Source organism: Homo sapiens, chromosome 11, assembly GCF_000001405.40.
Source record: "Homo sapiens chromosome 11, GRCh38.p14 Primary Assembly".
NCBI classification, from domain to species: Eukaryota; Metazoa; Chordata; class Mammalia; order Primates; family Hominidae; genus Homo; species Homo sapiens.
In genome coordinates this window covers 65,987,164-66,014,996 of record NC_000011.10, presented here as the reverse complement: position 1 = coordinate 66,014,996, position 27,833 = coordinate 65,987,164, and the positions used below count along the sequence as shown (strand labels likewise).

Here is a 27,833-nt window from a genome sequence, read left to right as displayed (position 1 = left end):
GGCTGTGTTTCTCTGGGTATGCATGTGATATCTGCCAGCATCTGAGTGTGTGCTCTGGGTGTCTGTGTGTGTATGTCTGGTGTGTTGTGCTTTGGGTGTGTGCGTGTGTATATGTATGGGGGGGTATGAATTGCAGCCACAAATTCAGATGTGCAAATGTTGCAATGCTGTTTTCTTCTTCTTTTTTTATTTTTAATTTTTTTGAGATGGAGTCTCGCTCTGTCTCCCAGACTGGAGTGCAGTGGCGCAATCTCGGCTCACTGCAACCTCTGCCTCCTGGATTCAAGCGATTCTCCTACCTCAGCTTCCTGAGTAGCTGAGATTACAGGCACCTGCCACCACACCCAGATAATTTTTGTATTCTTGGTTGAGATGGGATTTCACCATGTTGGCCAGGCTGGTTTTTTTTTTTTTTTTTTTTTTTTTGAGATGGAGTCTGGCTCTGGCGCCCAGGCTGGAGTGCAGTGGCGCCATCTCGGCTCACTGCAAGCTCCACCTCCCGGGTTCACGCCATTCTCCTGCCTCAGCCTCCCGAGTAGCTGGGACTACAGGCGCCCGCCACTACACCCAGCTAATTTTTTGTATTTTTAGTAGAGACGGGGTTTCACCGTGTTACCCAGGATGGTCTCGATCTGCTGACCTCGTGATCTGCCCGCCTCGGCCTCCCAAAGTGCTGGGATTACAGGCGTGAGTCACCGCGCCCGGCCACCAGGCTGGTCTTGAACCCCTGACCTCAGGTGATCCATCCACCTCAGCCTACCAAAGTGCTGGGATTACAGGTGTGAGGCCGGCTGCAATGCTGTTTTCTTTAAATGACATTACATTGAATCTGTCCCCTCACCCCTCCTGTGGGCGCTAGACAATCTCTGTCCCTCTGCGGCTCCTAGTCTAGCCCCTTTCAGGCGTCTTGCCCAGGGCAAGGCAAGAGAGGCGTCCTTGTGGCGTGGAGCCCACAGTGTGGACTGAGAGGCACTGTCCTAGCCTTCATGGTCTCTTGGCCTGCAGGGACTCTGCCATCGTTGGGCCACATGCAGGTGGAGGAATCTTTATAGGCTGGGAGCTCAGTGTCCTGGGTGAGGACACTGCCTGATTGAAGCCCCCCATGCCACCCATGAGCTCCTCCTGGGGCTGAGTGGGAGCACAGCACAGACTCCTCCTCAGAGTGCTCCCAGGCAGCCGGCCCTGTTCTTATCTCAGGCCATCGCCCCTCCTCTGTGAGTCTGCCGCCACCCCTGACCTCTGAGAATATTGGGAGTCTCTGGCTGTGTGTGGGGGCTCTAAGGTTTGTTCCTCTATGCCTGTGATGCTGGGGTGTTTGGGGGCTCCACATTTGGAGGCTCAGCCCTGCACCTTCAGCACTGTCTGGGCTGGGACAGCAGCAGCTCTGCTGCAGGTGGCAGGGTGACCTCTCAGCTTGGGCTGGGGAGCTGGGAGCTGCCAGAAGTGGGAGTGGGGGATGGGGGCAGAAGCGAAGCACTTGGAAGAAACCAATGCAAGAAGCAGCACTGGCCATTTATTGTGACAGATACGGCCCACGGACCTGAAGTGCCCTCCACCATGGCCCCAAACCCAATGGCCTTCGCCCTCGGGGACTTATCACATCTGCACACAGTTGTGCTTTAGGAGCTGAGAGGAGTTCTGCCAGGGAACCACAAGGACCTCAAAGTCACAGCGCAGCTTCTGTGGAGGGAATATGGGGGAGAAGGAGGGGTGAGCCCAGCCTCGACCTGTCTCCTCCCAACAGCCAGCCCTCTGCCTGCCAGGCTGCTCCAGGCCAAGAGAGGGACAATCACTGACCCAACGGATGTCAAGCCGCATGTCTGGGGCTAGACTCCAGATCTTGGTAGCCAACTTCCCCATTCCCGAGGGAAGCCCCAGCTTCCTTTCTGCACCCCATCTTGGCCCAGAGGCTGACTCATCCAGAAGGACGACAGGTTCAGCCAGACATCTAGACATCTACGTGTCCAGCCAAACCAGTTCAGGATGGACAACCTGAGTGCCTGAGGCTCTGGGGAGGGCTGGGGCTGGAGGAGCCCAGCTGTTACCTCCTGCTGCGCCCCTGCTGCCAGGGGGCAAGTGGTGAGGTCGACGTGGTCTCCAGTGACCCTGGTCTTGCGGCAGTCTGTGCTCCCCATCTCCATCGTCAGGAAGTACTTGATGCCGGCCACCAGCTGGGGGCATAGGGTAGGGGCAGGTCAGGGGTCTTGACCCTTGATCCTCACTTCTCACCTCTTGATATATTCTCCTGTTGCCCCCAGGCACTCAGGTGGGGAGAGAGGGAGAGGGGATGATTCAGACGGGGTGGGGGGGGGTGGGGGGGGGTGGGGGGGGGAGTTCTGGTGGGGATGGAGGGTGGAGAGGCCTGGAGGCTGAGCCCCACCAGCAGCCTTGGCAGACATCAGACATGCCCCATCTAGGGAGCTGCCCACTGTCCCCACCTGCCTTCCCTCCTCCCCGATCCACCCCATCAGGGCAGAGACTAGGACCAGGCAAGCCAGGAAGGCAGGTAGTGCAATACAGGGTTTAATTATGTCTTTCCTTGAAATTTAGATGGTTGTCCATCGTGGAGTTTTAGCATTAATTCGATTTTTAAAATATTGCATGAAAATATCCCGATTGCGCTTTTAGGCCCCCTTCATGCACGCTGGGGCAGCGCCTGTGGCCTCCCCCATCTGGGCCGGGTGTCCCCTCCCAGCACCCCGCCCGCCGCACCTGGCTCTGCGCCTTGATGATGTGCGTGTCTCGGAAGTAGTAGATGCTGTTGCTGCCCATGTTGTAGCTGGCCACGGCCGCCTGCGCCGCCTTCTGCACCTGCGGGTCGTCGGGCGACAGGTCCCGGAGTTCTCCGACCATGCGCTCCTGCGGCCGGGCCCGGGCGTCGCGTGGCAGCGCCAGGAGGCAGAATGCGACCAGGGCCAGGCCCAGCGCCAGCGGGAGGTTCGAACGCGCCATGGCCGTCAGTGCCGTCGGAGCCCTCAGAGCCGTGAGTGCCGAGCTTGCGGCCGCGCAGCTTTTACCCGCTGGGCCGCCCCGCCCGACGCCCGCGATGCGCCCCCGCGGCCTGGAGCTGGGGCGGGGCTCGAAGTTGCCGGGGTCCTGCGAGGTTCAGGGAGCCCAGGAGGCCGAGGGGGCGGCGCGCACCCGCGTGCCAAGACGCTTCCCTGCCCTCCAGGACACACCTGGCCCGGGGAGGGAGAGGACAGCGACAGTCCCCAGCAACAAGTGCCAGTACAGGGACGGTTCACGGGAGGGCTGTCCAGAATGAACTACCAACCGCAGCTCTTCGTGGGCTCTTACTGTTGCCACCATTTCCTAGCTGTGTAACCTCGGAGAAGTCACTTAACCACTCGCTGCCTCAGTTTCCTCTTCTGTACAATGGGTGTTGTGAGGATTCAGTGAGCTGAAACAGGTAAAGTTCTTAGAAGAGGTCTGGTGCTGGATAAACAGCAGGTGAGTAGGACACATTACTGCTCAGCGCTGCCTGACAACCTTCCTGGAGCGCGAGTGACTAATGTTTCTACCTGGCCAGGCACCTAGGCATGCTTGTAATTCCAGCACTTTGAGAGGCCAAGGTGGGAGGACCACTTGAGCCAAGGAGTTCAAGTCAGTGAATCGTGATCTCACCACTGCAGCATTCCAGCCTGGGCGACAGAGCTAGACGCTGACTCAAAAAAAAAAAAAAAAAAAAAAAAAAAAAAGAAGGCCGGGCATGAGGGCTCACACTTGTAATCCCAGCACTTTGGGAGGCCGAGGCAGGCAGATCACTTGAGGTCAGGAGTTCAAGACCAGCCTGGCCAACATGGTGAAACCCCGTCTCTACCAAAAATACAAAAATTAGCCAGGCGTGGTGGCACACACCTGAATTCCCAGCTACTCAGAAGGCTGAGGCAGGGGAATTGCTTGAACCTGGGAGGCAGAGGTTGCAGTGAGCCAAAATGGCACCACTGCGCTCTAGCCTGGGTGACAGAGAGAGACTCTGTCTCACAAAAAAAAAAAAGAAAAAAGAAAAAAAATAGTTTCCACTTTACAGAGAAGGGAAAATGGATTTGCCCAAAGACACCGGCAGGAAATAAATGGTGACACTGGCTTGTGTGTGCTGACAGTCTAAGTCAAATCTGTGGTCTTAAACCAGACTGAGCCCACAGGACACAAACTGCCCAGAAGGAGGGGGTGTCAGTCATGTCAGCTCTGCCATCTTACTGACGGCATGGCTTTGGGCAAGTCCCTCAACCTCCCACACAGAGCCTCCGTGCCCTCGTCTGAAAGACACCTTATCTCCTAAGTTTGTTCTGATATTGATGTTTCGAATCTGGCTGTCCCGTGGATACAGTGAGCATGTGCTGGAGGTACCAGCAAACAAGGCCCATGACTGTGTTTTTAAAGACTCCAATAATTGCCAGGTGTGGTGGCTCACGCCTGTAATCCCAGCACTTTGGGAGGCCGAGGTGGGCAGATCACTTGAGGCCAGGAGTTCGAGACCAGCCTGGCCAACATGGTGAAACCCCATCATAGCCCGCACGGACCTAGGGGGACTGAACAAAGCCGGGCAAACGTGGGAATAAAAGACAAGAGACAAAAGAGTATATTTGGAAGAAGGGGTCAGGGGGCACCTTGCCTCTAGTGGACAAGGGCCCTGAGCTTTACACAGCCCTCTGTATGTAGTAGGCAAAAGAGATAGCGAGAAAGGGGGAGGGTGATTGTCGGGTATGTCAGGTAATTGTCGGTCAGCACTTTGGTTCACAGCAGGCTTGTGAGACTGCATCCTTTGAACAATAGGTGCTAATTTTCTCAGTAGATAACTTCAGGGACCCCAGTGCCAAGGAGTAAGGCCCTCAGCAAACCTTTTGGTGGCAGGGCAGTGGGAGTTTGCCCACATCCTGCATTCGTGATAAACAGGTGGCTGTTTGATCATATAGCCTTCAGTGGAATGCTGAGTTGGTCACAATCCCTTTGGCCCTTTCGGCTCCCAACACCCCATCTCTACTAAAAATACAAAAATTAGCTGGGTGTGGTGGTGCACACCTGTAGTCTCAGCTACTTGGGAGGCTGAGGTGGGTGAATCACTTGAACCTGGGAGGCAGAGGTTGCAGTGAGCTGAGACGGCACCCACTGCACTCCAGCCTGGGTGACAGAGCAAGACTCTATCTCAAAAAAAAAAGACTCCAATAATTAATTGATTATTATTAATAGGTGGTGATCTATTAATCACACGGTAGCTCACACCTGTAATCCCAGGACTTTGGGAGTCGGAAGCAGGAGGATCACTTGAGGCCAGGAGTTTGAGACCAGCCTGGGCAACATAGTGAGCCGTCTCTACCAAAAAATCTAAAATAAATTAGCTGTGCATGGTGGTGCACGCCTGTGGTCCCAGCTACTCGGGAGGCTGAGGTGGGAGGATTACTAGAGTCTGGGAGGTCGAGGCTGCAGTGAGCAGTGATGGTGCCACTGCACTCCACCTGGGTGACAGAGCAAGACTCTGTCTCAAAAAAAAAAAGGAACAGATGAAAAGCAGTGTTGAAGTAGTCAACGCAAGAAAAGTCTGGATTTTGTTGAATTTTTTTTTTTTTTTGTGACAGCGCTCTGTCAGCCAGGCTAGAGTGCAGTGGCGCTATCATAGCTCACTATAACTCGACTTCCTGGCTTCAAGCTATCCTCCCATCTCAGCCTCCCAAGTAGCTGGGACCACAGGCGCATGCCCCCATGCCTGGTTAATTTTTTTCCACACCTGGCTAATTCTTATATTTTTTTGTAGAGATGGGGTCTCACAGTAGTGCCAGGTGGGTCTCGAATGCCTGGCCTCAAGAGATCACGAGATCCTCCCACCTCAGCTTCCCAAAATGCTGGGATTACAGGCAGGCCTTGGAATTATTTGTCTGCATTTTAGAGTTCAGTGTAGTTTGTATTTGTAATTCCATGTTGCTGGGGGGCGGGGCTTATTGTCCCTGGGGCACTAAGATCTTGCAGTGCTTAGAGCCTCCAGGGGCTTCACTGGGGCTTGGAAGAGGTGCTAGGTCACAGTACGTAAAGAGCAGCTGGCAACTGTCACTGTGATGGATATTGTATGTAGGCATCCAGCGTGTCACCCTCCCTTCCTGATTCTGGGCCTTAGAATCCCAGGACCACAAAAGGAAGTGATTTCCCACACAGAGACCTAGACCACAGCGGTCACTCACTGCCCAGGGCAGCTGCCAGCCTGCTACCCACCTCACTTCCTCAGCCCAGCTGTGGAAAACCAACTCTGCCATCTTCCTGGGATTCCAAGGAACCGTCACAAGTTCCTGGCGGCCTCAGGTGTCTGGCTTAAAGGGACAGACTCCAGTTTGTGGAAGTGCTGGCCGAGCTTGAGTTGATCAGGAGGATGACGCCTGGCCAGGACTCTGAGCTGAAAGCCTGGGAGGGGTAGAGGAAGAGTACCAGGATCGTGCCACAGGGGCGAGGTGGGAGAGGCAGCTCCCCTGGGCCTGCTGTGTCATCACTTGGAGCTTAGCCATGGCCACAGGTACCTCCAACAGCTCTCTCAAAAACTAGCCAAGGCCTGTCTGCCACTCACCAAGGGCACCCACTCCACCTGCCTCTGCTTTGTGCTGATGCAAAGGACTTTTTTTGCAGTACAACCTAGCAATTTCTGAGCACTTTTCACCCACTGATTCTCACAAGCACCCTGAGGGAGTACACATTATCCTCACTTTGCAGATGAAGAAGTTAATCAGAGAGGTCGGGACACTTGTCTAAGGTCACACAGCTAGAAGTGGTATCTTGGTAAGAAAAGGTGGGGAGGATTAACAATGGTAAGAACTCTTGCTGTGTGCCAGGCCTTGCGCCAGGGATTCAATATATGTTCTTTCATTCCCATAGCAGCTCTGCACAGACAATGACTATTATCTCTTCCTACAAGGAGGAAATGGGAGATCAAAGGGGAAAGGTTAGTGGTGGGTCCCGGTGCATGAGTCCTGGGCTGCTCCACAGGGGTTTGAGGTCTGCTGTGCATGGTGTAGGGGTTGTTTCTTGCAGATGGGGTGTCCCTGAGCAGACTTTCCCAGGGCCTGACTCCATCCCGTCTGGACCACTCTGGCTTCCAGGAGGTTTGCGCCAAGCGTGAGCTTGAGGTCGGTCAAATGTACTGGCCACAGGGCAGAGCCTCCAGTTTTGCAGTGGCCCAGACATCCCACCCCAGGTTGTCCACAGCACCCCTCTCTTGCCCCTGGCCTGATGGGTGGAGATGACCAGGGCAGGTTCTTGACATCTCCTTCCCTCTGGGATCAGGCTCTCCAAGGCTTCGATGCTTCCCCCAGAACCCTCTTCCTTGAACCTTCAGTTGGGCAGAGGATATTGCCCTCCCCCCAGGGCTCTGTAGCCCCATATCCTGGAAAGGAGATCTTTCAGCAAGGAAACCTGTAATCCAACAGGGATTAAAGCTCCCCTCTGGGGAGGAGCGCTCCTAAGCGCTGCTGATTCACTGGTTGAATCTTCACAACCCTGTTATCAGCTGGCAGAGGAGGCTGTAGCTCAGGGGAGTGAAGCAACTTGCTCCAGATCGCATGGGGAGCAAAGCCCCAGAATCGGGCCTGGCTGGCTCTTCAAGGCTGCCACCAGTCAAGGTTGGGAGTGACAGGAAAGAGCCCTGGTCCCCACAGGGAGGGGCCAGCCTGGAAAGGGATCAACAGTCACAAGCACCTGCTGGGAGCCTTCCATGCTCAGCAGGCTGCCGGGGGCAGGGCTTGTGGTGGTCCAGGTAGCCTCCCCCTACTTCCTTTCTGGGGGCAGCAGGAGCCCTTCAGCACCCCAGAGTGCATGGGCTGGGTTCACACGAAGTTCTAGGCTGGCTCTGAGCACTCATGACTAGACCAGCTGAGGGGGTCAAGCTCTGGCTGGGTGTGATGGGGGGATGGGGTCAGTATTTGCTGATTTCTGGGCCCACCTATGTCCCAGGCTAGTGGGTGGCCAGGCATGTCCTCTTGGACACCACGGGCTGACACTGAGACAACCTGACTCATACCCCTCACCAGCCAGGTCTGCTTTCTGCGCCAGCATTCCAAGCCGTGGTCCCTTTGTCCTGCTGGCTGAGTCGGGCTGGATCTGAGAGGCCACACTGTCACAAGGTACATTCTAGATGCCCTTTGTCTACTGCTGTCCCAGGACAGAGCCAAGAACTTGTGTGGGATGCAATATGGAGTCCTGATAAAGGGTTTGTGGCCTGCCACCTGGTATATGCACTGCCTGTGCCCCAAGGGAGAGGTGAGAAGGCAGGTTCCAGTCCCTTCTATGGCAAAGCCTGTGGGTGAGCCGGGAAAGGCAGACAACAAGGAAATAAAGCAGACAGCATGAGCCGCAGGCTTCCAGCAGGGTCCCAGTGCCACCAGGCGAGGCCAAACCAGGAGGCCAGCGTGGGCAGGAGCCCAGGGAAGGGCTTCATGGAGGAGGAGTCTCCATGACCTCACAGAGCACCAGCAACAAGCTGGCAGCATCAGGACTGAGGTGTGGTGAGGCCGGAGCCCTGCAAAGCCCCCACCTAAGCACACAAGGCCTGCGACAGCATCATAGCATGAGGGTCAAGGCTGAGGGGACTTAGCCGGGAAGACATCAGAAACAGTCTGAAACTCAAGAGAGAGCCCTCGTGACCACCTCAGCCGGGACTCAGACCAGCAGCCTCCCAGGAAGCGGCTTGAAGCACAAGCTGGGCCCTGCTGCAGTCACCTGGTGTCCCTTTCAAGCTGGGCCACTCGCACTTTCCAGTCCCAGCCTTGCACAGAACTCTCATCCCTACAAATAACAATTTAGTTTCTGACCTTTCACTCAATCGTTCCAGCCTCAGGTCTTTATTTTTGGTTTTCCTGTTATCTTTCTATTGTTGAGATGTAGCGAATACACTGAAAAGGGCGCAGAACATACACTTTTGGTCAATGCCTGTACCACCACCCCATAGGTCAGAAACACAGGTCAGGGTAGGCCAAGCCTACCCTTAAGCCCTTCCACACCCTCCCCCAAAGATAATCCCTGTAGACTTTTTCCTTTACTATTTACCATAATCATTTCCTTTGTTTTCCTTCTAGTTTTACCATCTATGTAGGAATTCCTAAGAATTTGTTTGTCTTCATTTGCTATTGAGATTCGTGTTGTACACAACTATCATTTGTTCATTTTTACCTCCGTCCAGTGTCCGGTGGCATGAGTGCCTATTTATCTACTCTAGTATTGACAGCCGCTAGCGTTGCTCCCAACAATGCAGCTGCAAACTCATCTAGGTCCTGCTGCAGGTGTTCGGGACTTTCTTCAAGGCACAGTCCTGAGAGTGGAACTGCTTGGTCACAGGGCGTGTCAGTTTTACTAAATAACACCCAACTGTCTTCCCAAATTGTTTAGACCAATTTATACTCCCACCAGCTAGGTATCAGTTCCTGTTGCTTCATTATCTCATCAATACTTGGTATTGTCCAACTTAAAAGTGTTTGCCAGTCAGGTGGGTGTTAATGGCATGTGATGTCTTATTACTAGCAATATGGAGCACCTTTCCTGTGCTTATTTACTGGGAGGGAACCCTCTTCTGTGGCCGTCTTAGATCTTTTACCCATTTTTCTGTTGTTTTTTTTTTTTTTTGAGACAAAGTTTCATTCTGGTCACCCTGGCTGGAGTGCAATGGCCGTGATCTCGGCTCACTGCAACCTCTGCCTCCCAAGTTCGATTCTCCTGCCTTAGTCTCCTGAGTAGCTGGGATTATAGGCGTGCACCACCACACCCGGCTAATTTTTGTATTTTTGGTAGAGATGGGGTCTCACCATGTTGGCCAGGCTGGTCTTGAACTCCTGACCTCAGGTGATCCACCCACCTCGGCCTCTGAAAGTGCTGGGATTACAAACGTGAGCCATTGCGCCCAGCCAGTCCGCTTTTTTCTTGATTGCAATTCTGTATGTGCTATGGAAATAGTCCTTTGTTGTTTATACTGCTGCAAATATCCTTTCCCTACAACCACCTCATTTTCCAAGTGGAGAAACTGAGGCTCAGAGAGGCTAAGCCACATGACCAAGGAACACATGGCCGGGTCCCTGGGTTTCCAAGCTAGTTTGAGTTCCAGTCTGGCTACTTCCCAGGAGCAAGTCCATGGGCAAATTAGCCTCTCTGAGCCTCAAATTTCCTCACCTGTAAAGGAGAAAATATTTATTACTGTGAAAGAAAAAAATGTTTGCAAAGATTTTAGCTTCAAGCCTGGTTCATACTAAGTGTTCAAGAAATAATAGGGCTGGCCGGGTATGGTGGCTCACACCTATAGTCACAGCGCTTTGGGAGGCTTAAGGATCGCTTAAGGCCAGCATGGGCAACAGAGCAGGGCCCTGTCCCTATTAAGTTAAAAAGTAAACAAAAAGAACAGGACTAAAATGTACTGAGGTGTACTCCCCTCACATCCTTCCAGCTGTGATGCCTGTGCTCCTTCTCCTCCCTAAGAGATCATGGAAGATGGCAAGCACCCTGCCCACCCTTACAGAGGCCGGGAGAGCAGATGATGACTGGCAGGTGAACTCTCACCCACATCCGGCCCACCCTGTCTGGTACCTCTGACTCCCACTGACTTTTCCACCAGGTGCTGCCTAGCCCAGCTGTTGACTTAACTGACATCTGGAGCACAGTCCATCTGGCTCCCAGGAAAAGATCCACCCACACCCTCTCCCACATCACTCGGGGATTGAGACAAAAGTCACCTGCCTGAGGCCTACATGGCTAGGGTGGCTGCCCTCTGGGAGTGGAAGGGAAGCTGCCAGTTTCGGTCTCTACTGATAAGGAGTGAGGGAAACATGGTCAGTCCCTGAAGGAGAGGCAACTCCCAGCCCACTTGCTTTTCAGTGCACAAAGCCCAGTCATGAAAGCCACTGACTTTATTGATCTAAAAAACTTTACAAGGACAGTGACTGTTCTGCCAAAAAAGGAGCCAAATGGTATCAAACGGATTGAAAGTGAGGGTGGGGGTGAGGGATGGGGCCGGGAATCCATTCAGGAAAGCTGGTAACTGTCACCAGGGAACTGGCAAGGGAAAAAGGACGGGGGAGGCATGCAAGAGCGAGAATCCAAAAAAAAGTTGAAATGGTTAGGGGAGAAAACTCCCAAAAGACCCCGGAGTACGTCGGAGGTGAGTACGACAATAGCAATCTTTTCCTTCGTAGAGGACAGGGGAGGAGTCCCTACTCGGCTGCAAACTCTGGATGAGGGCTGGGGATTGAGAGCTTCCCAGAGAGCATCACAAGAAGGCGTCGCACCACTCTCGAAGGCATCCGAAGCAGTCCCGGGACTGCTTGGCGTTGGCGCCACAAGTGTCTTTCAGCCATTCCCGGAAGAGGTCTTCATCTTTCTTTAGCACCAGAAACTGGCCAAGGACAACATAGGCCTGCAAAACAGGGAAAAGGAAGGAGCGTGCTGCTCAGTGCTCAGTGAGAGATAAGAGCAAGACAGCCATTCCTGTGCCATTCAGAGCACACAAGCCCAGGAAGCAGCGCGGGTTTTGCCCCCCTCTCCTCTCCACCAGGTGCCCAGGCTCTGGCAGCCTCTTCAGATTATACCTTACTGTCCATCCCCCAGCAGATGGAATCACTTCCCTTCCACCCCCCGCTTGCACTAGGTACACGCAGCCACCCCACACCTTGTCAAAACCCCTTTCCTCCAGCTTCTTGCCCAGGACTTCACCAATCCCAGCCAGGCTCCCCACTGGCTTCTCCCCCATGGGCTCTGCCACGAAGTCTCGGTGCTTTTGGGAGGTTGTCATCTTGATCAGGCTTAATCTAGGAATCCCAAAAAAAAGGCAGATTAGGGCTGAAGACCTGGAACTTCTAAGGGCCCACGAGCAATCTCATAGTAAGAGGAAGCCAAGCCAGGGGTTACAGTGGCTTGCTCGATCCCCCTCATCCTGAAAGGAGAAAACAGTTCCAGGGAGACTCTTCCCTACTATTTTTAAGAGGAGTTTCTTCCTGCAGGACCTGGATTTTGATCTTGCCCCAGAGGAAAAACGATCCTGCCTAACAGGTGGCGCAAGCGGGGCAGTGGAAAGATGCCCAGAGTCCGTAGCCAGGGCTGCGCGGAAGCTATCACTCCCTCTGTGACCTTGGCTGAACCAAGACGACACTGCCTGCCTGGAACGGCCACTTGGCGTGGAAAGCTAACCAAAGGGTCTCTCTACCTACAGGGCGAAGCGCACACCTAGCGCTGCGCACACCCGCTCCCCGCCCGCGGGGTTCACGCCGCGCCCCAGCTCCGCCCCCACCGCGCGCCGCTGCGGCCCGCCCCTTCCCGCGGCCCGGCTCCCACGCGCTGCACCCCGCCCCCTCCCCGCAGCGCGGCCAAGCTCTCCCCCAGGGCCCGCCACAGCGCCTGCGACCCCTCTCCTCCCCTTCTCCCCGCAACCCCTCTGGCCTCCAATCAGGGCCCTGCTCCGCGGCTGGCGCTCACCCGCAACTTCAGTTCCCGTAACGGTTCCTCCCGCCACCCGGCCGCTCCTGCGGATACCTCAAGCCACTAGAACTTTCTTCCACTTCCGCTTCCGGGTCGCTTCAAGAGCCGCCTTTAAAAAAGAAACATTCCACGTTGGGCACTTCTAGCCAGTTAGAGCTATAGAGTTGAGGCGCCCCGGACCTCGACGGCGTCCTTAGTAGGCGCTCCTTTCCGGTCCTTCGCGGGAAGCCCTGCCTTCTAAGGTCTCGCTTCTCGCGCAGTTCTGAGGGAGATAGGCCTCCAGGGAGAGGACTTCCTTTCTCTGCTGCCCGGACCCGGAACTCAAGGACTTAGGCTTGACGGACCTGGCGTGGGGAAGAGTTAGAAGACGGACAAGGGAGGGGACGGGAGGCCTCCGAGACAGCGCCGGAAGTACGGTTTTCGGAGGGATCAGACTCAGACTCACGTCGCACTCCTCGCAGTTGGACTGGTGGGAACTGGGAACACTGGAGACCTGATTTCTAACTGACGCTACCGTCGCGGCCGCCGGCAAGTTCCTTTACTGTGTTTTCTTGGTTCAGCCTTGAAGTGAGTCGTGGACGATCCTCTCTCAGCGTCCAGCCTAGACGGCGGTGTTGCTCCGGCAGCGTTCCTGGGAGCCGAGGGCCAGAGACTAAGTGTGGGTGTTTCTCTGAGGGTCTTTTCTCCGGGATAGACAGGGAGGAGGAAGGAGGACAGCAACTAGAGACGACAGTGTTTCTTTCGGAAACCATCAGTCTTAAGGGTACTGGCCTTCGTCTTCTAAGTACGCAAGTCAGAAATATGCAAATGTCGCAGACAAGCCTGCTCACCTCAACCTTTAATTAACTAGTTCCTGGCTTGAACCATCACGGTGGCCACCTAGTTTGTCTCCGGCTGTAGTGTGTTGCCAGACTGAACTTCTCTGTTGTGTGACTATGCTAGACTTGGGGTGTACAAGCGTGTTGAGAAAGATACGGTTTATTTCAAACTCCTTCCAGAGAGGTTGCCAGGATGACTTCTCTGGAGCATGCGTATAGTTTTATATTACACTAGTACTTAAGATTATAGGAGTTACTTTTTTTTTTTTTTTTTTTTTGAGACGGAGTCTTGCTCTGTCGCCCAGGCTGGAGTGCAGTGGCGCGATCTCGGCTCACTGCAAGCTCCGCCTCCCGGGTTCACGCCATTCTCCTGCCTCAGCCTCCCGGGTAGCTGGGACTACAGGCGCTCGTCATCACGCCCGGCTAATTTTTTGTATTTTTGTAGAGAGAGGGTTTCACCGTATTAGCCAGGATGGTCTCGATCTCCTGACATCGTGATCCGCCCACCTCGGCCTCCCAAAGTGCTGGGATTACAGGCGTGAGCCACCGCGCCCGGCCGGAGTTACTTTTACATGACATGCATTGTATTGTCCCATTCTGTTGTAGCAGGACGAGTCGCAGACAGAACTCCTCAGACACCAGATTAAAGAAGGAAGAGGTTTTTTTATTCGGCCGGGAGCGTCGGCAGACTCGTGTCTTAAGAGCCGAGCTCCCCGAAAAAGAAATTCCTAGCCCTTTTAAGGGCTTACAACTCTAAGGGGTCTACGTGAAAAAGTCATAATAGATCAAGTAAGCGTGAGAAACGTGACTGGGGGCTACATACATCAGCTAACAGAACAAAAAGTTTTACAGTGCTTTCTCATACAATGTCTAGAATTTACAGATAACACCAGTAGTTTTGGTCAGGGGTTAATAATATTATTATTATTTTAGCCACCAGGGCCAGGTGGTGGTGCCAAGGTCGTCTAGCTATTTATCTTACTTCTGTTTCTTTCCAACTTTTTGCTTTCTCCCTTTTCTCCTGTCTTATAAACTAGGGAAAAGGGGAGGTTGGAGAGAAACTAAGAAGGCCAACAGGAGAAGTGGTGGCCTCATACCATACTGTAACAGTGCTGAGTTAGCTGTTATTTTTCTGGGACCTAGAGAAGTTGAATAGTTAGGAAATAAACCAAGGTAGGATTTGAATCCAGGCAGTTAGACTTCAGAACCCATGTTCTTAACCAAGACACCGTGTCACCCCTCAGTAAAAGGCCCCTCCCCATCTTCAGAACAGTCCTGGGTTCTGAGCCTGCCATCCAAGGAACTCAGGAGGAGGAGTTGACAGTCTCTTCGTTCCTAACCAGTGTGGGACGACTTCAGCATGTCTCAGGCCACCAAGAGGAAGCATGTGGTGAAGGAGGTGCTAGGGGAGCACATAGTGCCCTCCGACCAGCAGCAGATTGTCAGGGTGAGTGGCGTGGGGCACAAGCTGTTCTGCTCCCCACCCCTGCAGCCCTGGAGGGCCCCTGGGGTGGGGGTAGGGTGCAGCGTGTCTGAGAGGGTGTTTGATCTGACTGATGAGACTGATTCTTGGTCTCTCCTGAACCAGGTACTCAGGACCCCAGGGAACAATCTGCATGAGGTGGAGACAGCCCAAGGGCAGCGCTTCCTGGTGAGCATGCCCTCCAAATACCGCAAGAACATCTGGATCAAGAGAGGTGAGAGGATTACTCCTGTAATCCTGGCACTTTGAGAGGCTGAGATGGGAGGATCGCTTGAGACCAGCCTGGGCAGCATAATGAGACCTTGTCTCTACAAAAAGAAAAAAATTAGTTGGGCACGTGCCTGTGATCCCAGCTACTCAGGAGGCTGAGGCCTGAGAATCACTTGAGCCTGGGAGGTGGAGGCTGCAGTCAGCTATGATCATGCTATTGCTTGCCAGCCTGGGCAACAGAGCAAGACCCTGTCTCAAAAAAAAGAAAAAAGAGAGAGGTGAGAGAGGCAGCCCTCTCTAGGAGATAGAACCCCTTCCTATGGCTTTGGCTTTCCTTATTGCAAGCAGGCCTGACTTTGCCTTTTCTCTTCTTATCTACAGGGGACTTTCTCATTGTTGACCCCATTGAAGAGGGAGAAAAGGTGAAGGCTGAAATCTCGTTTGTGCTCTGCAAGGACCACGTGCGCTCTCTGCAGAAGGAGGGGTTTTGGTAGGTGGTCCCCTTGATCATTGGCTGTCTGGCTTCTGGAGGCATTGCCTTCCTAGCTTGGGAATTAGGGGAGGGAAGGTCATGGCATCCCAGGCAGACACAGCTGGAAGCAGCTCTTTTGTGAGAAATTTATTTGTCCTTTCTGACTTTGGCTCATCTCTTGGCATAGGCCTGAGGCCTTCTCTGAAGTGGCTGAGAAACACAACAACAGGAACAGGTGAGGAACAAGCCTTGGGGTGGGGTACATGGAAAATAAGGGGTTCATGCTTTGGTGCCTTGAGGGAAAAATAGAGCCTTCTTTCCTCCTTACATAGGGTATCTGTTGAGAGCTCCTAAGCATGTGGTATAACATGGTTATGAATGGGGTTTGAAGGTCAGATGCTCTGGGTTAAAATCTTGGCTTTGCCACTTAAAGCTGAATGACTTTAAGCACGTTATTTAATTCCTTCAAACTCTATTTTCTTATATGTAAAATGGGAGCTTTGTGAGGATTAAAGAAGTGGATGGCTTGTAAAATTGCTTAGTGCAGTATCTGTTATGTGATATGGGTCCATTAAGTGTTAGTTGGTGGTCGTAGAATCATTATTTCTAACTAAAACAAATGGCTGTGGCACACGTTTGGGGAGTGGGGTCAGTCTTTAGCCTGTTTCTTTGGCCACGTTTCCCCACTGTTTGCTCTCCTGTGTCCCTTGTTTGAGTCTTTAAAGGGTGCTGTAGGGCCCTGACTGCTGGGCCGGATGGTCCTTTTTTTGGAACTCCTTGATTGTAGATATTATTTTCCCAGAAGGCGCTGGGCTAACCCTGCTCTCTTCCCTTCGTGCAGACAAACTCAACCAGAACTCCCAGCTGAGCCACAGTTATCAGGAGAGGAGTCCAGCTCAGAAGATGATTCTGACCTGTTTGTTAACACAAACCGCAGACAGTATCATGAGAGTGAGGAGGAGAGTGAAGAGGAGGAGGCAGCCTGAGACTCCAGGACCCAATTCTCCACTTGCTCAGGGACTGGCCCCTGGCTCTTCTGGGCTTGGACATTCCCAGGGTGCTCTGCACATCTTCACCCCTGCATGAGGACAAAGCAGGGCTCCTCTCTGAACTGATCTTTTGATTCAGAGAATTAAACCCCTGGTGGGTTGGTGACTTGTTCTGGTGTCTGAGTGGCTCTCTCGGGGGAGGGAGATTGTGATGAAGTGAAAAACTGCTCCCTATTTATTAGAGACCTTGTGGGTGGGTGGGCTGAATGGGGAGGAAATGGGAAATGGCTGGAGTCTTTCCCAGGTGGTTTGTTCTTTCTTATTGGGCACTTAGAAAGTGCCAGGCCGTGCTCTGGGCCTTCTTGCATGTGTTTAACAGCTGGGAGCACTCCTGCTTCCTTGCCTGCTTGCAGTTCATACCAATTTAAGCATTCAGGATGACAGCCCTAGGACCTAACACCCACCTGCCTCTAAGAGACGCTCAGGAGCCCATGGTGCCTCGTGCTGTTCTCCCCGCCTTTCTAGTCACCCTGTGTACGGGAGTGCTCACCTCCAGCTACTGTGTCCATCCCCACATACGACCTCATCTCTCCCACTCTGCACCATCTATCACTTCCAGAAGGTGGCTGGCAAATCTCTCTATCCTTAACTTTGTTTTGAATGGTCCATCCATCTCCTGACTTTATTTGAAACCTGATTATTCCCTGAGGACATTGATTGTCTTATAACCTTTTAAATAGAGGCTGCTTTTCCACCCTCACCCTTCATTCTTCTAACCAGCCCTGACATTCTCATGAGTAACCTTCTGCCTTCACTTCCCTCTTGTGTAGCATCAATTCCGTAGTCCACCCTACACCCCTCTGTCTCCCTCCATTCTGTTCCGCTAGTAAAACCCTAACCCTGGGTAAACCCAATCATTCACCTCTGTGCCCAAACCCAAGTCACCATCATTAGGTGAGAAAACAGCCAGCCTGGCCACCAGTTGTACCTTACGTTTATCATTACAAACCTCAGATGGACACTAAGCACTGCCCAGCAGATCTACTCTGGGATGTCTGTTTCAAAACTTCTGTCTTATCTATCAATTCCCCCTTGTGGTAGTTACCACAACACATGCCTCATTAAGAAACAGCAACCATCAGAGGGAATGCCTGCCTCCCTGTTACCAGCTCTGCAGATGTGCACATATCTTCCTGTCGTAAGCCAATGGGACTTAAACCTTACCTCTTGTGTTTTGGAGACTATCTTTTTTTTTTTTTTTTTTTTTTTGAGAGAGTGTCTCCCTGTGTTGCTCAGGCTGGAGTGCAGTGGTGTGATCTCGGCTCACTGTAACCTTCACCTACTGGGTTCAAGTAACTCTCCTGCCTCAGCCTCCCGAGTAGCTTGGACTACAGGCGTGCACCACCACACCTGGCTAACTTTTTGTATTTTTAGTAGAGACGGGGTTTTGCCATGTTGCCCGGGCTGGTCTCGAACTCCTGACCTTAAATGAGCCTCCTGCCTCAGCCTCCCAAACTGCTGGGATTACAGGCGTGTGCCACCATGCCTGGCTAATTTTTATATTTTCAGTAGAGACGAGGTTTTGCCATGTTGGCCAGGCTGGTCTCGAACTCCTGACCTCAAGTGGTCCACCCACCTTGGCCTCCTAGAGTGCTGGGATTACAGGTGTGAGCCACTGTGCCCGGCCTCTTTTGCTTTCTTAAAGACTTTGGTCGGGTATTTGTGTTGTTGAGTATTGTGTCTGGGTGTGGGTATTTGATTCTTTTTTTGTTTTGTGTTTTTGGCTGTCCTGTCTATTGGATGTGATATGTTATGGATGTGATGTGTTAGTGTCGAGCGTGCTGTAGAATCTCCCATTTCTGAAACAGGCGTGAAAACCTGTACTGATTCCCACGTCCTCCAGCTACCACTTCATTTGTCTGTTTCTCATTTACTTTCTCTTATAGCGTGGCTTTAAACATATATACATTTGTATATATGTATATATGAATATAATGTATAAAATGTATGTAGATGTATATACAAAAAATAAACGAGATGGGTTAAAGATATGTATGTGTGTGTATCTATCTTTAATTCATCTGAAGTTTGTTTTTTCTGAGAGGTAGCAAACTTTCCCTAAAGGGAAAGTCACTTGTCCCTGTACTATTTCTTGAAAGGTTCATTCTTTGCTCACTGGAAATATTTCTTTTTTTTTTTTTTTGAGACGGAGTCTCGCTCTGTTGCCCAGGCTGGAGTGCAGTGGCGCCATCTCGGCTCACTGCAAGCTCTGCCTCCCGGGTTCACGCCATTCTCCTGCCTCAGCCTCCTGAGTAGCTGGGACTACAGGCACCCACCACCACGCCCGGCTAATTTTTTGTATTTTTAGTAGAGATGGGGTTTCACCGTTGTTAGCCAGGATGGTCTCAGTCTCCTGACCTCGTGATCTGCCTGCCTTGGTCTCCCAAAGTGCTGGGATTACAGGCATGAGCCACCACGCCTGGCCAGAAATATCTTTTAAAACATAAATTCCTGCATATATATGGATCTTTTTTGGAATTTCTAATCTGTCCTATTGATCCGTGTGCCCATACTGCATTTTTTTTTTTTTTGAGACAGTCTTGCTTTGTCACCCAGGCTGGAGTGCAGTGGCGTGATCTCAGCTCGCTGTAACCTCCGCCTCCCAGGTTCAAGCGATTCTCCTGCCTCAGCCTCTCCATAGCTGGGACTACAGACACTTGCCACTACACCCGGCTAATTTTTGTATTTTTAGTAGAGACGGAGTTTCAACTTTTATTTTTTTGAGACAGGGTTTCACTCCTGTCACCCAGGCTGGAACACAGTGATGCAATCATGGCTCATTGCAGCCTCCACCTCCTGGGCTCAAGCGATCCTTCTACCTCAGCCTACTGCGTAGCTGGGACCACAGGTGTGCACCACCACATCGGGCTAATTTTTCTTTTTCTATTTTTTTTTTTTTTTTTTTTTGTAGAGCCAGTCTTATTATGTTGCCCAGGCTGGTCTCAAACTCCTGGGCAAGCCATCCTCCCGCCTCAGCCTCCCAGAGGGCTGGGATTCCAGGCGTGAGCCACTATGTCCACCCAAGAAGTGGTATCTTAACAGTTTATTTTTAGTTTTGTTTAAATAAATATTGTAGAAAAATTAACAGTTTTTCATCTTCCTGTCCAGAAATGAGGTATGTTCTTTGGTAAGGTGGTGTGGTCTTCAAATGGGCCTTTACTTCCAATTTGGTTTAGTCTTAGGAGTTTTATGAAAGTCCTAGTTACTGGTAGTGAAGGATCTGTGGAAATCACCTTTCCCCATCCCTGGCATCCACCTGTGTGTCCATCTTTGTGTTGCCCACCTTGTCGAATGCGCAGTTCTTCAGTTGATCTTGTGGCTTTATAGATAGCCAAATCGTATCCCACTAATGACAGTTTTATCTCCTCCTTTACACTCATGTCTATTTCTTGTGAATCTCAGAGGCCAGGACCTCCACCGTGGTTGCATGGCACCCTTGATTGATGTTTTCTCAGTGGGAATGGTTCTCACGTTGCGTCCTGAGGTAGGACGCTTGCTCTGGGCTTCCGGTAGATGATCTTCATTAGACTGAAGATGTTTTCTTTGTTCCATCTTACTGTTTTTTTTTTCTCCTTCGCTTTTGTTTAACAGTGATGAATGTTGACATCTATGGAGAAAATCAAAAGATTTTATTGTATGATTGTACTGAGTTACAGTAATAGGTTTCCTAATGTTGGACACACCTTACTTTCTGATATAAACCTTGCTTAGTTTTACAGTATATTATGTATTTACTTAGGAGTTTTATCTCTCTCCCTGGGCCAATCCCCTCCCTCTTTTTAAAAAATGACCTTCCTGTTCTATTTCGAGATTAGCTTTATGCTAGCCTTGCAAATGGGTTTGGAGACGTCTTTTTCTTCAGGCTTGAATACTTTATAGGCCAGGCATTTGTTTCTTCAACGTTGTGAACTTGTTTACAAAAACATCTGTGCTGGGTACCTTTTTCAGGGGTGGATCTTTCACTGCCTTTTAGTTTATTCAGTTGTGTTCTGTCTAAAGTTTTCTATCCTTGAGTCAATTTTGATCATTTGTATCATTCCAGGATCATATTTCATATATATTTAAGCTTTTTGGGCAAAAGTTCATGCATAATATTTGTATTATTTGGAACTTTCTTTTTTTGTTTGTTTGTTTTTGTTTTGTTTTTGAGGCAGAGTTTCACTGTGTCGCCCAGGCTTGAGTGCAGTGGTGCAGTATCGGCTCACTGTAACCTCCACCTCCCGGGTTCAAGTGATTCTCCTGCCTCAGCCTCCCAAGTAGCTGGAATTACAGGCACCCGCCACCACACCCAGCTAATTTTTGTATTTTTAGTAGAGATGGGGTTTTGCCATGTTGACCAGGCTGGTCTCAAAGTCCTGACCTCAGGTGATTGGCCCCCCTCAGCCTCACAAAGTGCTGGGATTACAAGGGTGAGCCACTGCACCCAGTAATTTTTTTTTTTTTTTTGAGACAGCCTCTCACTCTGTTGCCCAGGCCATCATGGCGCCACTGCAGCCTTGACCTCCCAGGCCCAAGTGATTCTCCCACCTCAGCCTCCTGAGTAGCTGGAACCACATGTGCGCGCCACCACACCTGGCTAATTTTTTTTATTTTTAGTAGAGACAGGCTCTCCCTATGTTGCCCAGGCTAGTCTCGAACTCCCAGGCTCAAGTGATGCTCCTGCCCTGGCCTCTCAAAGTACTGGGATTACAGGTGAGAGCCACCATCCTGGCGTATGCGGGACTTTCTTATAAATGACAAAATTGAACTCAAATTAGGAGAAGTAAGCAAGGCTCATTGACCTGAGGTCTCTGAGTGGTGCGCATCGGGCAGGGATGAACCAATGCCAGCAGCATGAATTCCTCAGGCTCTCTCATTTATCTCTGTCATCTCTGCTCCCGGCTGATTAATTTCTTTCCCTCCTACAGATGTTTTCTGTAGAAAGCTCAAGTTTTTTTTTTTTTTTTTTTTTTGAGACGGAGTCTCGCTGTTGCCCAGGCTGGAGTGCAATGGCGCGATCTCGGCTCACTGCAGGCTCCGCCCCCCGGGGTTCACGCCATTCTCTTGCCTCAGCCTCCTGAGTAGCTGGGACTACAGGCGCCCGCCACCACGCCCGGCTAATTTTTTGTATTTTTAGTAGAGACAGGGTTTCACCGTGTTAGCCAGGATGGTCTCGATCTCCTGACCTCGTGATCCGCCTGCGTCGGCCTCCCAGAGTGCTGGGATTACAGGCATGAGCCACTGCGCCCAGCCAGGACGCTCAAGTTTATACACAGTCCTTGTAGACAGAGCCCCTTGGGGCTCTTGAGGATCCCTGTATTTCCGTGAAGGGCGATTGATCTTCCTCAGGTCACTTGCTGTGCTTGAGCAGTCACTGTGGCCAGGGCCGGGGGGTGGGAGGGTGTGGAGGACTGGGGTGGGGCAGGATGAGCCACAAGTAATTTTTATATGTTTCCCATGGAATAGAGAGGTTCTATTACCAGAAAAAGTGGGGCAAGGGGTGAGGGCAGGTGAAATCAACAAAATATGTTTATATTTTGTGTATTTTATTTGGCTAGCTTTGCAAGAGGTCTTCCTTACTGGACTTTTCCTTCGTTTCTTTGGGTTTATTTGCTCATTCTGGGTTCTTGAGATGTGTGCTTAGCTAATTTAATTTCAATTTGTTTTCTAATATATTCAGGGCTATATGTTTTCTTCTAAATAGTCCTTTGACTGTTCCCCACTTTGTGTGTGTGTGTTTTGGCGTTTTATCTGTAAACTTGGTCTTATGTTCTTCTCCATTCTCTCAGTGATACTGTGATCCACCTAGTAACATCTTTTTTTCCCCCTAAAACCTTTTCGTTTCCACTTCTTCATCTCTTACCAGCCATTCAGCTTCTGTGGGCTGTAGCTAAGGGTACTGATGGAGGTAGGGTCCTTGTATTCTGCATGCTACTTTCCTATGTCATTCTCTGAAGCTGGATTCCACCTCTGTTCTTCCAACTGAATGGTGGGATCCAACCATGTATGAATAGATCTCCCTGAGTGAGCTGAGATCTGATGTAAGAGCCCCTTGTCCCGATGTCATGGCCAGTCCCTGTGACTGGCTGCCTAATAGTACTTACTGGCTTCTCTTGCAGTTATGCTTGAGACTTTGTGGCCCTTCAGAATCTGTACCTCTGTCACTTCAGGACTAACCTCTACAGCCAGGTCATTTCCACCAGGGCTTCCCCGTGTGGCCCAGTGCGCTTTCCCCCCTTGCCACCCAGCCACCCCTGTGTGTGTGCCAGGGAGCACAGATGGCAGTCTGAGCTCACCACATGGTTTTCCTCTTCTAATCTGTAAATGTGGTGGAGTATCATAACATTCTCTCACGTTAAGATATCCTTGCATTCCTGGAAGAAGACAGTCACAATGGATTTGTTATTATACTGCCGGATTTGGTTCTCTGGTATTTTGGCATCCAGGTGTATAGGTGAAATGGTTTAAGGTTTTCCTTTTCCGTACTGCCCCCACCCTTTGTTTTGTATCAAGGTTATACCAGCTTCATATAAATAAGTTGGAAAGTGTTTTCCCTTTATTTTCATTACGAGAGTTTGTATAAGATTGGAATTTTGCATTTCTACAATTTTTGGTAAAGCTTGCTGTAAAACCAACCATGCCTGGCGATTTTTTGGGTGGGTGGGTAGGTAGGTTTGGAATTAGATTGTCAGTGGTAATAGATTACTCAGGTGTTCTGTTCTTCAGTCATATTTTCAAGGAAAAATATTTTCATGTTATTTATTTATTTATTTATTTTTGAGACAGGATCTTGCTCTGTCGCCCAGGCTGGAGTGCAGTGGCCCCATCTCGGCTCACTGCAACCTCCGCCTCCCGGGTTCAAGTGATTCTCCTGCCTCAGCCTCCCGAATAGCTGGGATTACAGGTATGTGCCACCATGGCCGGCTAATTTTTGTATTTTTAGTAGAGATGGGGTTTCACCATGTTGGCCAGGCTGGTCTCAAACTCCCGATCTCAGGTGATCTGCCCACCGCAGCCTCCCAAATTGCTGGGGTTACAGGCGTGAGCCACCACACCCAGCCCCCATATTTTCTCATGTTTGCTATGGCTTCAAACTTACTGGCGCAAAGTTATTTGTATGATTGCCTTATGTTTGTAATCTTGGCTGTATCCAAAGTTATGTCCCCCTTTTTACATGTAATATTGTTTATTTGTGCCTTCTCTCTGTTATAGCTGGTCAATCTTGGCAGAAGGTCATTATTAGTCTTTTCTAAGCACCAGCTTTTTGTTGTCATTCTTTGTATTGGTATTTCATTAATTGCTGCTCTTACCGTATTTCCCACTTATACTCCCTTTGTTTTTGTTTGTTTTTGTTTTTTTCTCATAACCAATGGGAAACAAACCAATCCCTCTGGGTTTATCCTGTAGTTCTTTTTCTTTTTCCTTTCTTTGTTTTGTTTTGTTTTGTTTTGTTTCTGAGATGGAGTCTTGCTCTGTCACCCAGGCTGGAGTGCAGTGGTGCAATCTCAGCTCACTGCAACCTGTGCCTCACAGGTTCAAGCCATTCTTCTGCCTCAGCCTCCTGAGTAGCTGGGATTACAGGCGCCCACCACCACGCCTGGCTAATTTTTATATTTTAGTAGAGACGGGGTTTCAGCATGTTGACCAGGCTGGTCTCGAACTCCTGACCTCAGGTGATCCACCCGCCTCGGCCTCCCAAAATGCTGGGATTACAGGCGTAAGCCACTGAGTCTGGCCTATATTTAAACATTTTGGCTGGGCATGGTGGCACATGCCTGTAATCCCAGCTACTTGAAAGGCTGAAGGGAAAGGATTGCTTAAGCCCTTGAGGAGTTTGAGGCCAGCCTGGGTGACATAGTGAGACTCCCTTTCAATAAAAAATTAAAAGTCAAGAATAATTAAATATTTGGTTGGTTATTTTTAATAATGTGAGCAGCTTCAAACCCACCACCATAAAATAAAGGCTAGGACTTTAACAATAACCCAAGTAACATACTCCACCTCCCATCCTACCCTGACCAGCCCATTCTCTGCTGTCCCACCCAAGGCAACCATTGTCCGAATTCCATGTGCACTTTTTTTCTTTTTACATGGTTTGCTTTATTTTTATTTATTTTTATTTATTTATTTATTTACTTACTTACTTACTTTTTGAGATGGAGTCTCGCTCTTGTCGCCCAGGCTGGAGTGCAATTGTACGATCTCAGCCCACTGCAACCTCCGCATCCAGGGTTCAAGCAATTCTCCTGCCTCAGCCTCCCGAGTAGCTGGGATTACAGGCCTGCACCACCACACCCAGCTAATTTTTTTTGTATTTTTAGTAGAGATGGGATTTCACCATGTTGGCCAGGCTGGTCTCGAACTCCTGCCCTCAGGTGATCCACCCGCCTTGGCCTCCCACAGTGCTGGGATGACAGGTGGTGAGCCACCGTGCCCGGCCTGGTGCTTCGTCTTTAGTAGTTGCCCAGTTGTCTCCCAGGAAAGTGACTTGGGCCACAGAACCGTGGGTTTTGTCTTCATTCAAGGCCCAAACATCTCTACTGACCTGTGTCTGAGAAGCACACAGAGAAGTGTGGGCAGTTTCCTCAGTGGGAGCCGCCCTCAGAAAATCACTGATGAAGCAAGAAGTCAGGACACCACGGACACCACCAGCAGTTCATGCTGTGCGTGTGTTTGATCCACTGGTGACATTTGCAAGAGAATCCAAAAGCCCCTGTGGGAGGTGTGGAGGCATGCCGTATGCCTCATCTGGTGACACTGAGGAATGAAGAATTAGCAGTACAGGCTGGGCGCGGTAGCTCACGCTTGTAATCCCAGCACTTTGGGAGGCCAAGGCAGGTGGATCACCTGAGATCAGGAGTTCGAGACCAGCCCGGCCAACTGGTGAAACCCTGTCTCTACTAAAAAAATACAAAAATTAGCTGGGTGTGGTGGTGCACGCCTGTCATCCCAGCTACTTGGGAGGCTGAGATAGGAGAATCGCTTGAACCCAGGAGGGGAGGCAGAGGTTGCAGTGAGCCGAGATGGCGCCACTGTACTCCGGCCTGGGCAAGAGCAAGACTCCAACCAAAAAAAAAAAAAAAAAGAACTAGCAGTGCCCAGGGCTGTACACCAGGTGCCAGTACTGGCAGCAATTCTTCCAGTTATTGTGATAGATTCTCATGACGCTAAAATACCCACTTTGTTATTTAACCCTTGCTAATCCACAATGAGTTGCCAAGTACCAGAATCCTTTGTTACTAACCAGACCAGGCTGTTCATTCTTGAACAGCATTGGGCATCACTTTGTTTTAATAATTCTTGTATGAGAAGAGCACTCTTTTCCTTCTGATAGCAATGTGGCTCCAACTACTGGCTGATGTGAGACGGTACCGGCAGTTCCTGGCTGTGTATTCTGCCAACATTTAGAGAAGCCACCAGCAGAGGTCACCCTAAGCACGTAAAACCAGCAAGTCAGCACCTTGCCTTGGGCTACAGAACCCGAAAGCATCTAACCTAGTTACAGTCTCATAAGGGAACTGCATTCTTGGTCCAATCAAAGGGTCCACATGCCCCAACAGCAGTTAGGATGCTGGTAGACCACTGCGAACACAAGTTCCACTCCCCCAGAGATGGATTCACTCACCAAGGCATGATCAGAAGTGGCCTTCCTCCCCAGCAGCATTTACAAGCTGGAGTACAGTGCTTGGAGGGTGGTGGGGAACTGCCCTGGTTTTTTTGTTTTTTGGGGGACCCAGTTTCACTTTTCTTGCCCAGGCTGGAGTGCACTGGCGCGATCTTGGCTCACCGCAACCTCCGCCTACTGGATTCAAGCGATTCTCCTGCCTCAGCCTCCCAAGTAGCTGGGATTACAGGCACGCACCACCACGCCTGGCTAATTTTGTATTTTTAGTAGAGATGGGGTTTCTCCATGTTGGTCAGGCTGGTCTTGAACTCCCGACCTCAGGCGATCTGCCCGCCTTGGCCTCCCAAAGTTTTGGGATTACAGGCGTGAACCACCGCGCCTGGCCGCCCTGGTCTTTCAGTTAGAAAGCACCCAAATTGAGGTGCAGGAGGACTCACATGGAGGTGTCTGTGGCTGTGTCCCCCAGAAACCCTGCTCTGGACAAGGATGAGGTACCCCTGTAGTTAATGTCTGAGGATTCAGGGAGCCTTGGACCTGGTAGATGGGCAGCAAGGAGGGGCTGGTAAGACCTAAGAACTGCAGCCTCTGGAAGGGTCGTCTCCCCAGGGCCCCTCAGCACATGTATTCAGCTCCCCTTCTAGTGACTGCTGAAGCTTTCAGGCCTTTGGGGGTTTTGCCTCCCTGCGTTCTTCTCTGAAGGCTCCAAGTGCCTTCTTTCATGTGGGTCTCCCATCCGCTTTGTGTCTGCCATAATTTAGCTTTCGACAATGGAGTTCTGTCTTATCGATCCTACTCACGATCTATGGCCACATCTTTCCTTCCTCGCGCCCTCCCTTCCTTCCTTGCTTCGTGATCTCGGCTCACTGGAACCTCTGGCTCCTGGGTTCAAGAGATTCTCCTGCCCCAGCCTCCTGAGTAGCCGGGATTACAGGCACCTGCCACCACGCCTGCCTAATTTTTTGTATTTTTAGTAGAGACGGGGTTTCTCCATGTTGGTCAGGCTGGTCTTGAACTCCTGACCTCAGGTGATCCACCCGCCTCAGCCTCCCAAAGTGCTGGGATTACAGGCGTGAGACACTGCGCCCGGCCCACACATTCCTTTTTTGGGGGGGTGGGCCGCAGGAGACCTGCCCATCTGTCCTGCTTCTTGCTTCTCCCTTTCACTTTGTCCAGGGCTGACAAATCAGCCGTTTCTGAGGAGCCCTCCTGTCTGCCTCCTTCCCCAGGTGGGGTGTGCATTGGCACAGAAGGGCTGTTTTGCTTCTCTCACTGCCCCTGAACAGGTGCCTGAGGAGGGAAAGGCCTGGGACCCAAGGCAGAGCAGGTGGCGTGCTGTGTCTGTTGGGCAGGGGCGAGGTGGGGAGGACACTGGCAAGGCTCCTTAAGGCCGGGGGGTACGGGGCTCAGGGACTCGGAGAATCAGCATGCAATGACAGCATCGATGTGTCCGGGGCTCAGGGAGAGGGAAGTGGGACCCAGCCTGATCTGAGTGGAGACCCTGAGTGGGGCCAACTCCGTCTTCCCAGTGTGTTTGGGCTTTGGAGACATGCCCAAGGCAGGACAGCTTTGATTCTCACCACAGCCCTGGGGGCCACGACGGCTGTCTCCTCCCTACACCATGGTGAAGACATTCAGACCAACAGAATATAGGAGTTTATCACCAGCAGACAGAAGGAACTTCTAGAAAACAAACTTCAGAAACAATGAGAAGATTTGGCTATCAGTATTTTATTAATATCATAAAATATGTTAAGAGCGCTTACCATCT

At 51.0% G+C, this 27,833-nt stretch overlaps 3 protein-coding genes across 13 annotated transcripts, besides 8 other annotated features; 1 reads left to right on the top strand and 2 right to left on the bottom strand.

Annotated features, from left to right (window-relative positions):
• Window positions 932-1,507: an enhancer, noted in NCBI's record as "H3K4me1 hESC enhancer chr11:65780961-65781536 (GRCh37/hg19 assembly coordinates)". NCBI's record gives its function as "activates a minimal SCP1, AML or CMV promoter by ChIP-STARR-seq in naive H9 embryonic stem cells {active_cell/tissue: H9 hESC(naive)}" and the evidence as "EXISTENCE:reporter gene assay evidence [ECO:0000049][PMID:30033119]".
• Window positions 1,492-2,989, bottom strand: CST6 (cystatin E/M). Its single transcript, NM_001323.4, has 3 exons — window positions 2,713-2,989; window positions 2,046-2,171; window positions 1,492-1,680 (listed from the first exon to the last, which is right to left on the bottom strand). The coding sequence occupies exons 1-3, from the start codon at window positions 2,950-2,952 to the stop codon at window positions 1,597-1,599; spliced, it is 450 nt and encodes a 149-aa protein (NP_001314.1). The 5' UTR covers window positions 2,953-2,989; the 3' UTR covers window positions 1,492-1,596.
• Window positions 5,893-6,687: an enhancer, noted in NCBI's record as "H3K4me1 hESC enhancer chr11:65775781-65776575 (GRCh37/hg19 assembly coordinates)". NCBI's record gives its function as "activates a minimal SCP1, AML or CMV promoter by ChIP-STARR-seq in naive H9 embryonic stem cells {active_cell/tissue: H9 hESC(naive)}" and the evidence as "EXISTENCE:reporter gene assay evidence [ECO:0000049][PMID:30033119]".
• Window positions 7,345-7,639: a silencer, noted in NCBI's record as "tiled region #5067; K562 Repressive DNase matched - State 8:EnhW". NCBI's record gives its function as "represses a minimal TATA promoter and a strong SV40 promoter by Sharpr-MPRA in K562 cells {active_cell/tissue: K562}" and the evidence as "EXISTENCE:reporter gene assay evidence [ECO:0000049][PMID:27701403]".
• On the bottom strand, window positions 10,848-12,494 carry BANF1 (barrier to autointegration nuclear assembly factor 1). 4 transcript variants are annotated; one of them, NM_001440619.1, is made up of 3 exons: window positions 11,927-12,494; window positions 11,624-11,762; window positions 10,848-11,371 (listed from the first exon to the last, which is right to left on the bottom strand). In NM_001440619.1, the coding sequence occupies exons 2-3, from the start codon at window positions 11,744-11,746 to the stop codon at window positions 11,225-11,227; spliced, it is 270 nt and encodes an 89-aa protein (NP_001427548.1). In that variant the 5' UTR covers window positions 11,747-11,762; window positions 11,927-12,494; the 3' UTR covers window positions 10,848-11,224. The 4 variants fall into 4 exon arrangements, with proteins under 4 accessions (NP_001427548.1, NP_001427547.1, NP_003851.1 ...); NM_001440618.1 differs by having other exon boundaries at window positions 12,162-12,494; NM_003860.4 differs by having other exon boundaries at window positions 12,427-12,494.
• Window positions 10,959-11,765: an enhancer, noted in NCBI's record as "H3K27ac-H3K4me1 hESC enhancer chr11:65770703-65771509 (GRCh37/hg19 assembly coordinates)". NCBI's record gives its function as "activates a minimal SCP1, AML or CMV promoter by ChIP-STARR-seq in naive and primed H9 embryonic stem cells {active_cell/tissue: H9 hESC(naive and primed)}" and the evidence as "EXISTENCE:reporter gene assay evidence [ECO:0000049][PMID:30033119]".
• Window positions 12,133-12,472: a silencer, noted in NCBI's record as "silent region_3569". NCBI's record gives its function as "represses an Ori minimal core promoter by ATAC-STARR-seq in GM12878 lymphoblastoid cells {active_cell/tissue: GM12878}" and the evidence as "EXISTENCE:reporter gene assay evidence [ECO:0000049][PMID:35858748]".
• Window positions 12,773-13,142: an enhancer, noted in NCBI's record as "active region_5025". NCBI's record gives its function as "activates an Ori minimal core promoter by ATAC-STARR-seq in GM12878 lymphoblastoid cells {active_cell/tissue: GM12878}" and the evidence as "EXISTENCE:reporter gene assay evidence [ECO:0000049][PMID:35858748]".
• On the top strand, window positions 12,840-18,452 carry EIF1AD (eukaryotic translation initiation factor 1A domain containing). 8 transcript variants are annotated; one of them, NM_001242486.2, is made up of 6 exons: window positions 12,840-12,957; window positions 14,591-14,694; window positions 14,836-14,944; window positions 15,322-15,430; window positions 15,600-15,647; window positions 16,254-18,452. In NM_001242486.2, exons 2-6 carry the CDS (start codon window positions 14,608-14,610, stop codon window positions 16,396-16,398), a joined length of 498 nt encoding a protein of 165 aa, NP_001229415.1. In that variant the 5' UTR covers window positions 12,840-12,957; window positions 14,591-14,607; the 3' UTR covers window positions 16,399-18,452. The 8 variants fall into 8 exon arrangements, with proteins under 8 accessions (NP_001229415.1, NP_001229414.1, NP_001229413.1 ...); NM_001242485.2 differs by having other exon boundaries at window positions 14,516-14,694; NM_001242484.2 differs by having other exon boundaries at window positions 14,492-14,694.
• Window positions 14,244-14,743: an enhancer, noted in NCBI's record as "H3K4me1 hESC enhancer chr11:65767725-65768224 (GRCh37/hg19 assembly coordinates)". NCBI's record gives its function as "activates a minimal SCP1, AML or CMV promoter by ChIP-STARR-seq in primed H9 embryonic stem cells {active_cell/tissue: H9 hESC(primed)}" and the evidence as "EXISTENCE:reporter gene assay evidence [ECO:0000049][PMID:30033119]".
• Window positions 25,566-25,635: an enhancer, noted in NCBI's record as "active region_5024". NCBI's record gives its function as "activates an Ori minimal core promoter by ATAC-STARR-seq in GM12878 lymphoblastoid cells {active_cell/tissue: GM12878}" and the evidence as "EXISTENCE:reporter gene assay evidence [ECO:0000049][PMID:35858748]".

What these genes read in the sequence shown, in the direction of transcription:
- CST6 (NM_001323.4), bottom strand. Translation starts at nt 2,952, where the DNA reads ATGGCGCGTTCGAACCTCCCGCTGGCGCTGGGCCTGGCCCTGGTCGCA. An exon ending in TCATCAAGGCGCAGAGCCAG is followed by an intron (nt 2,172 to 2,712) that starts GTGCGGCGGGCG and finishes CTATGCCCCCAG; the next exon opens with CTGGTGGCCGGCATCAAGTA. An exon ending in CAGCAGGGGCGCAGCAGGAG is followed by an intron (nt 1,681 to 2,045) that starts GTAACAGCTGGG and finishes TTCCCTCCACAG; the next exon opens with AAGCTGCGCTGTGACTTTGA.
- BANF1 (NM_001440619.1), bottom strand. Translation starts at nt 11,746, where the DNA reads ATGACAACCTCCCAAAAGCACCGAGACTTCGTGGCAGAGCCCATGGGG. An exon ending in AGGAAAGGGGTTTTGACAAG is followed by an intron (nt 11,372 to 11,623) that starts GTGTGGGGTGGC and finishes CCTGTTTTGCAG; the next exon opens with GCCTATGTTGTCCTTGGCCA.
- EIF1AD (NM_001242486.2), top strand. Translation starts at nt 14,608, where the DNA reads ATGTCTCAGGCCACCAAGAGGAAGCATGTGGTGAAGGAGGTGCTAGGG. An exon ending in ACCAGCAGCAGATTGTCAGG is followed by an intron (nt 14,695 to 14,835) that starts GTGAGTGGCGTG and finishes CTCCTGAACCAG; the next exon opens with GTACTCAGGACCCCAGGGAA. An exon ending in AAACACAACAACAGGAACAG is followed by an intron (nt 15,648 to 16,253) that starts GTGAGGAACAAG and finishes CCCTTCGTGCAG; the next exon opens with ACAAACTCAACCAGAACTCC.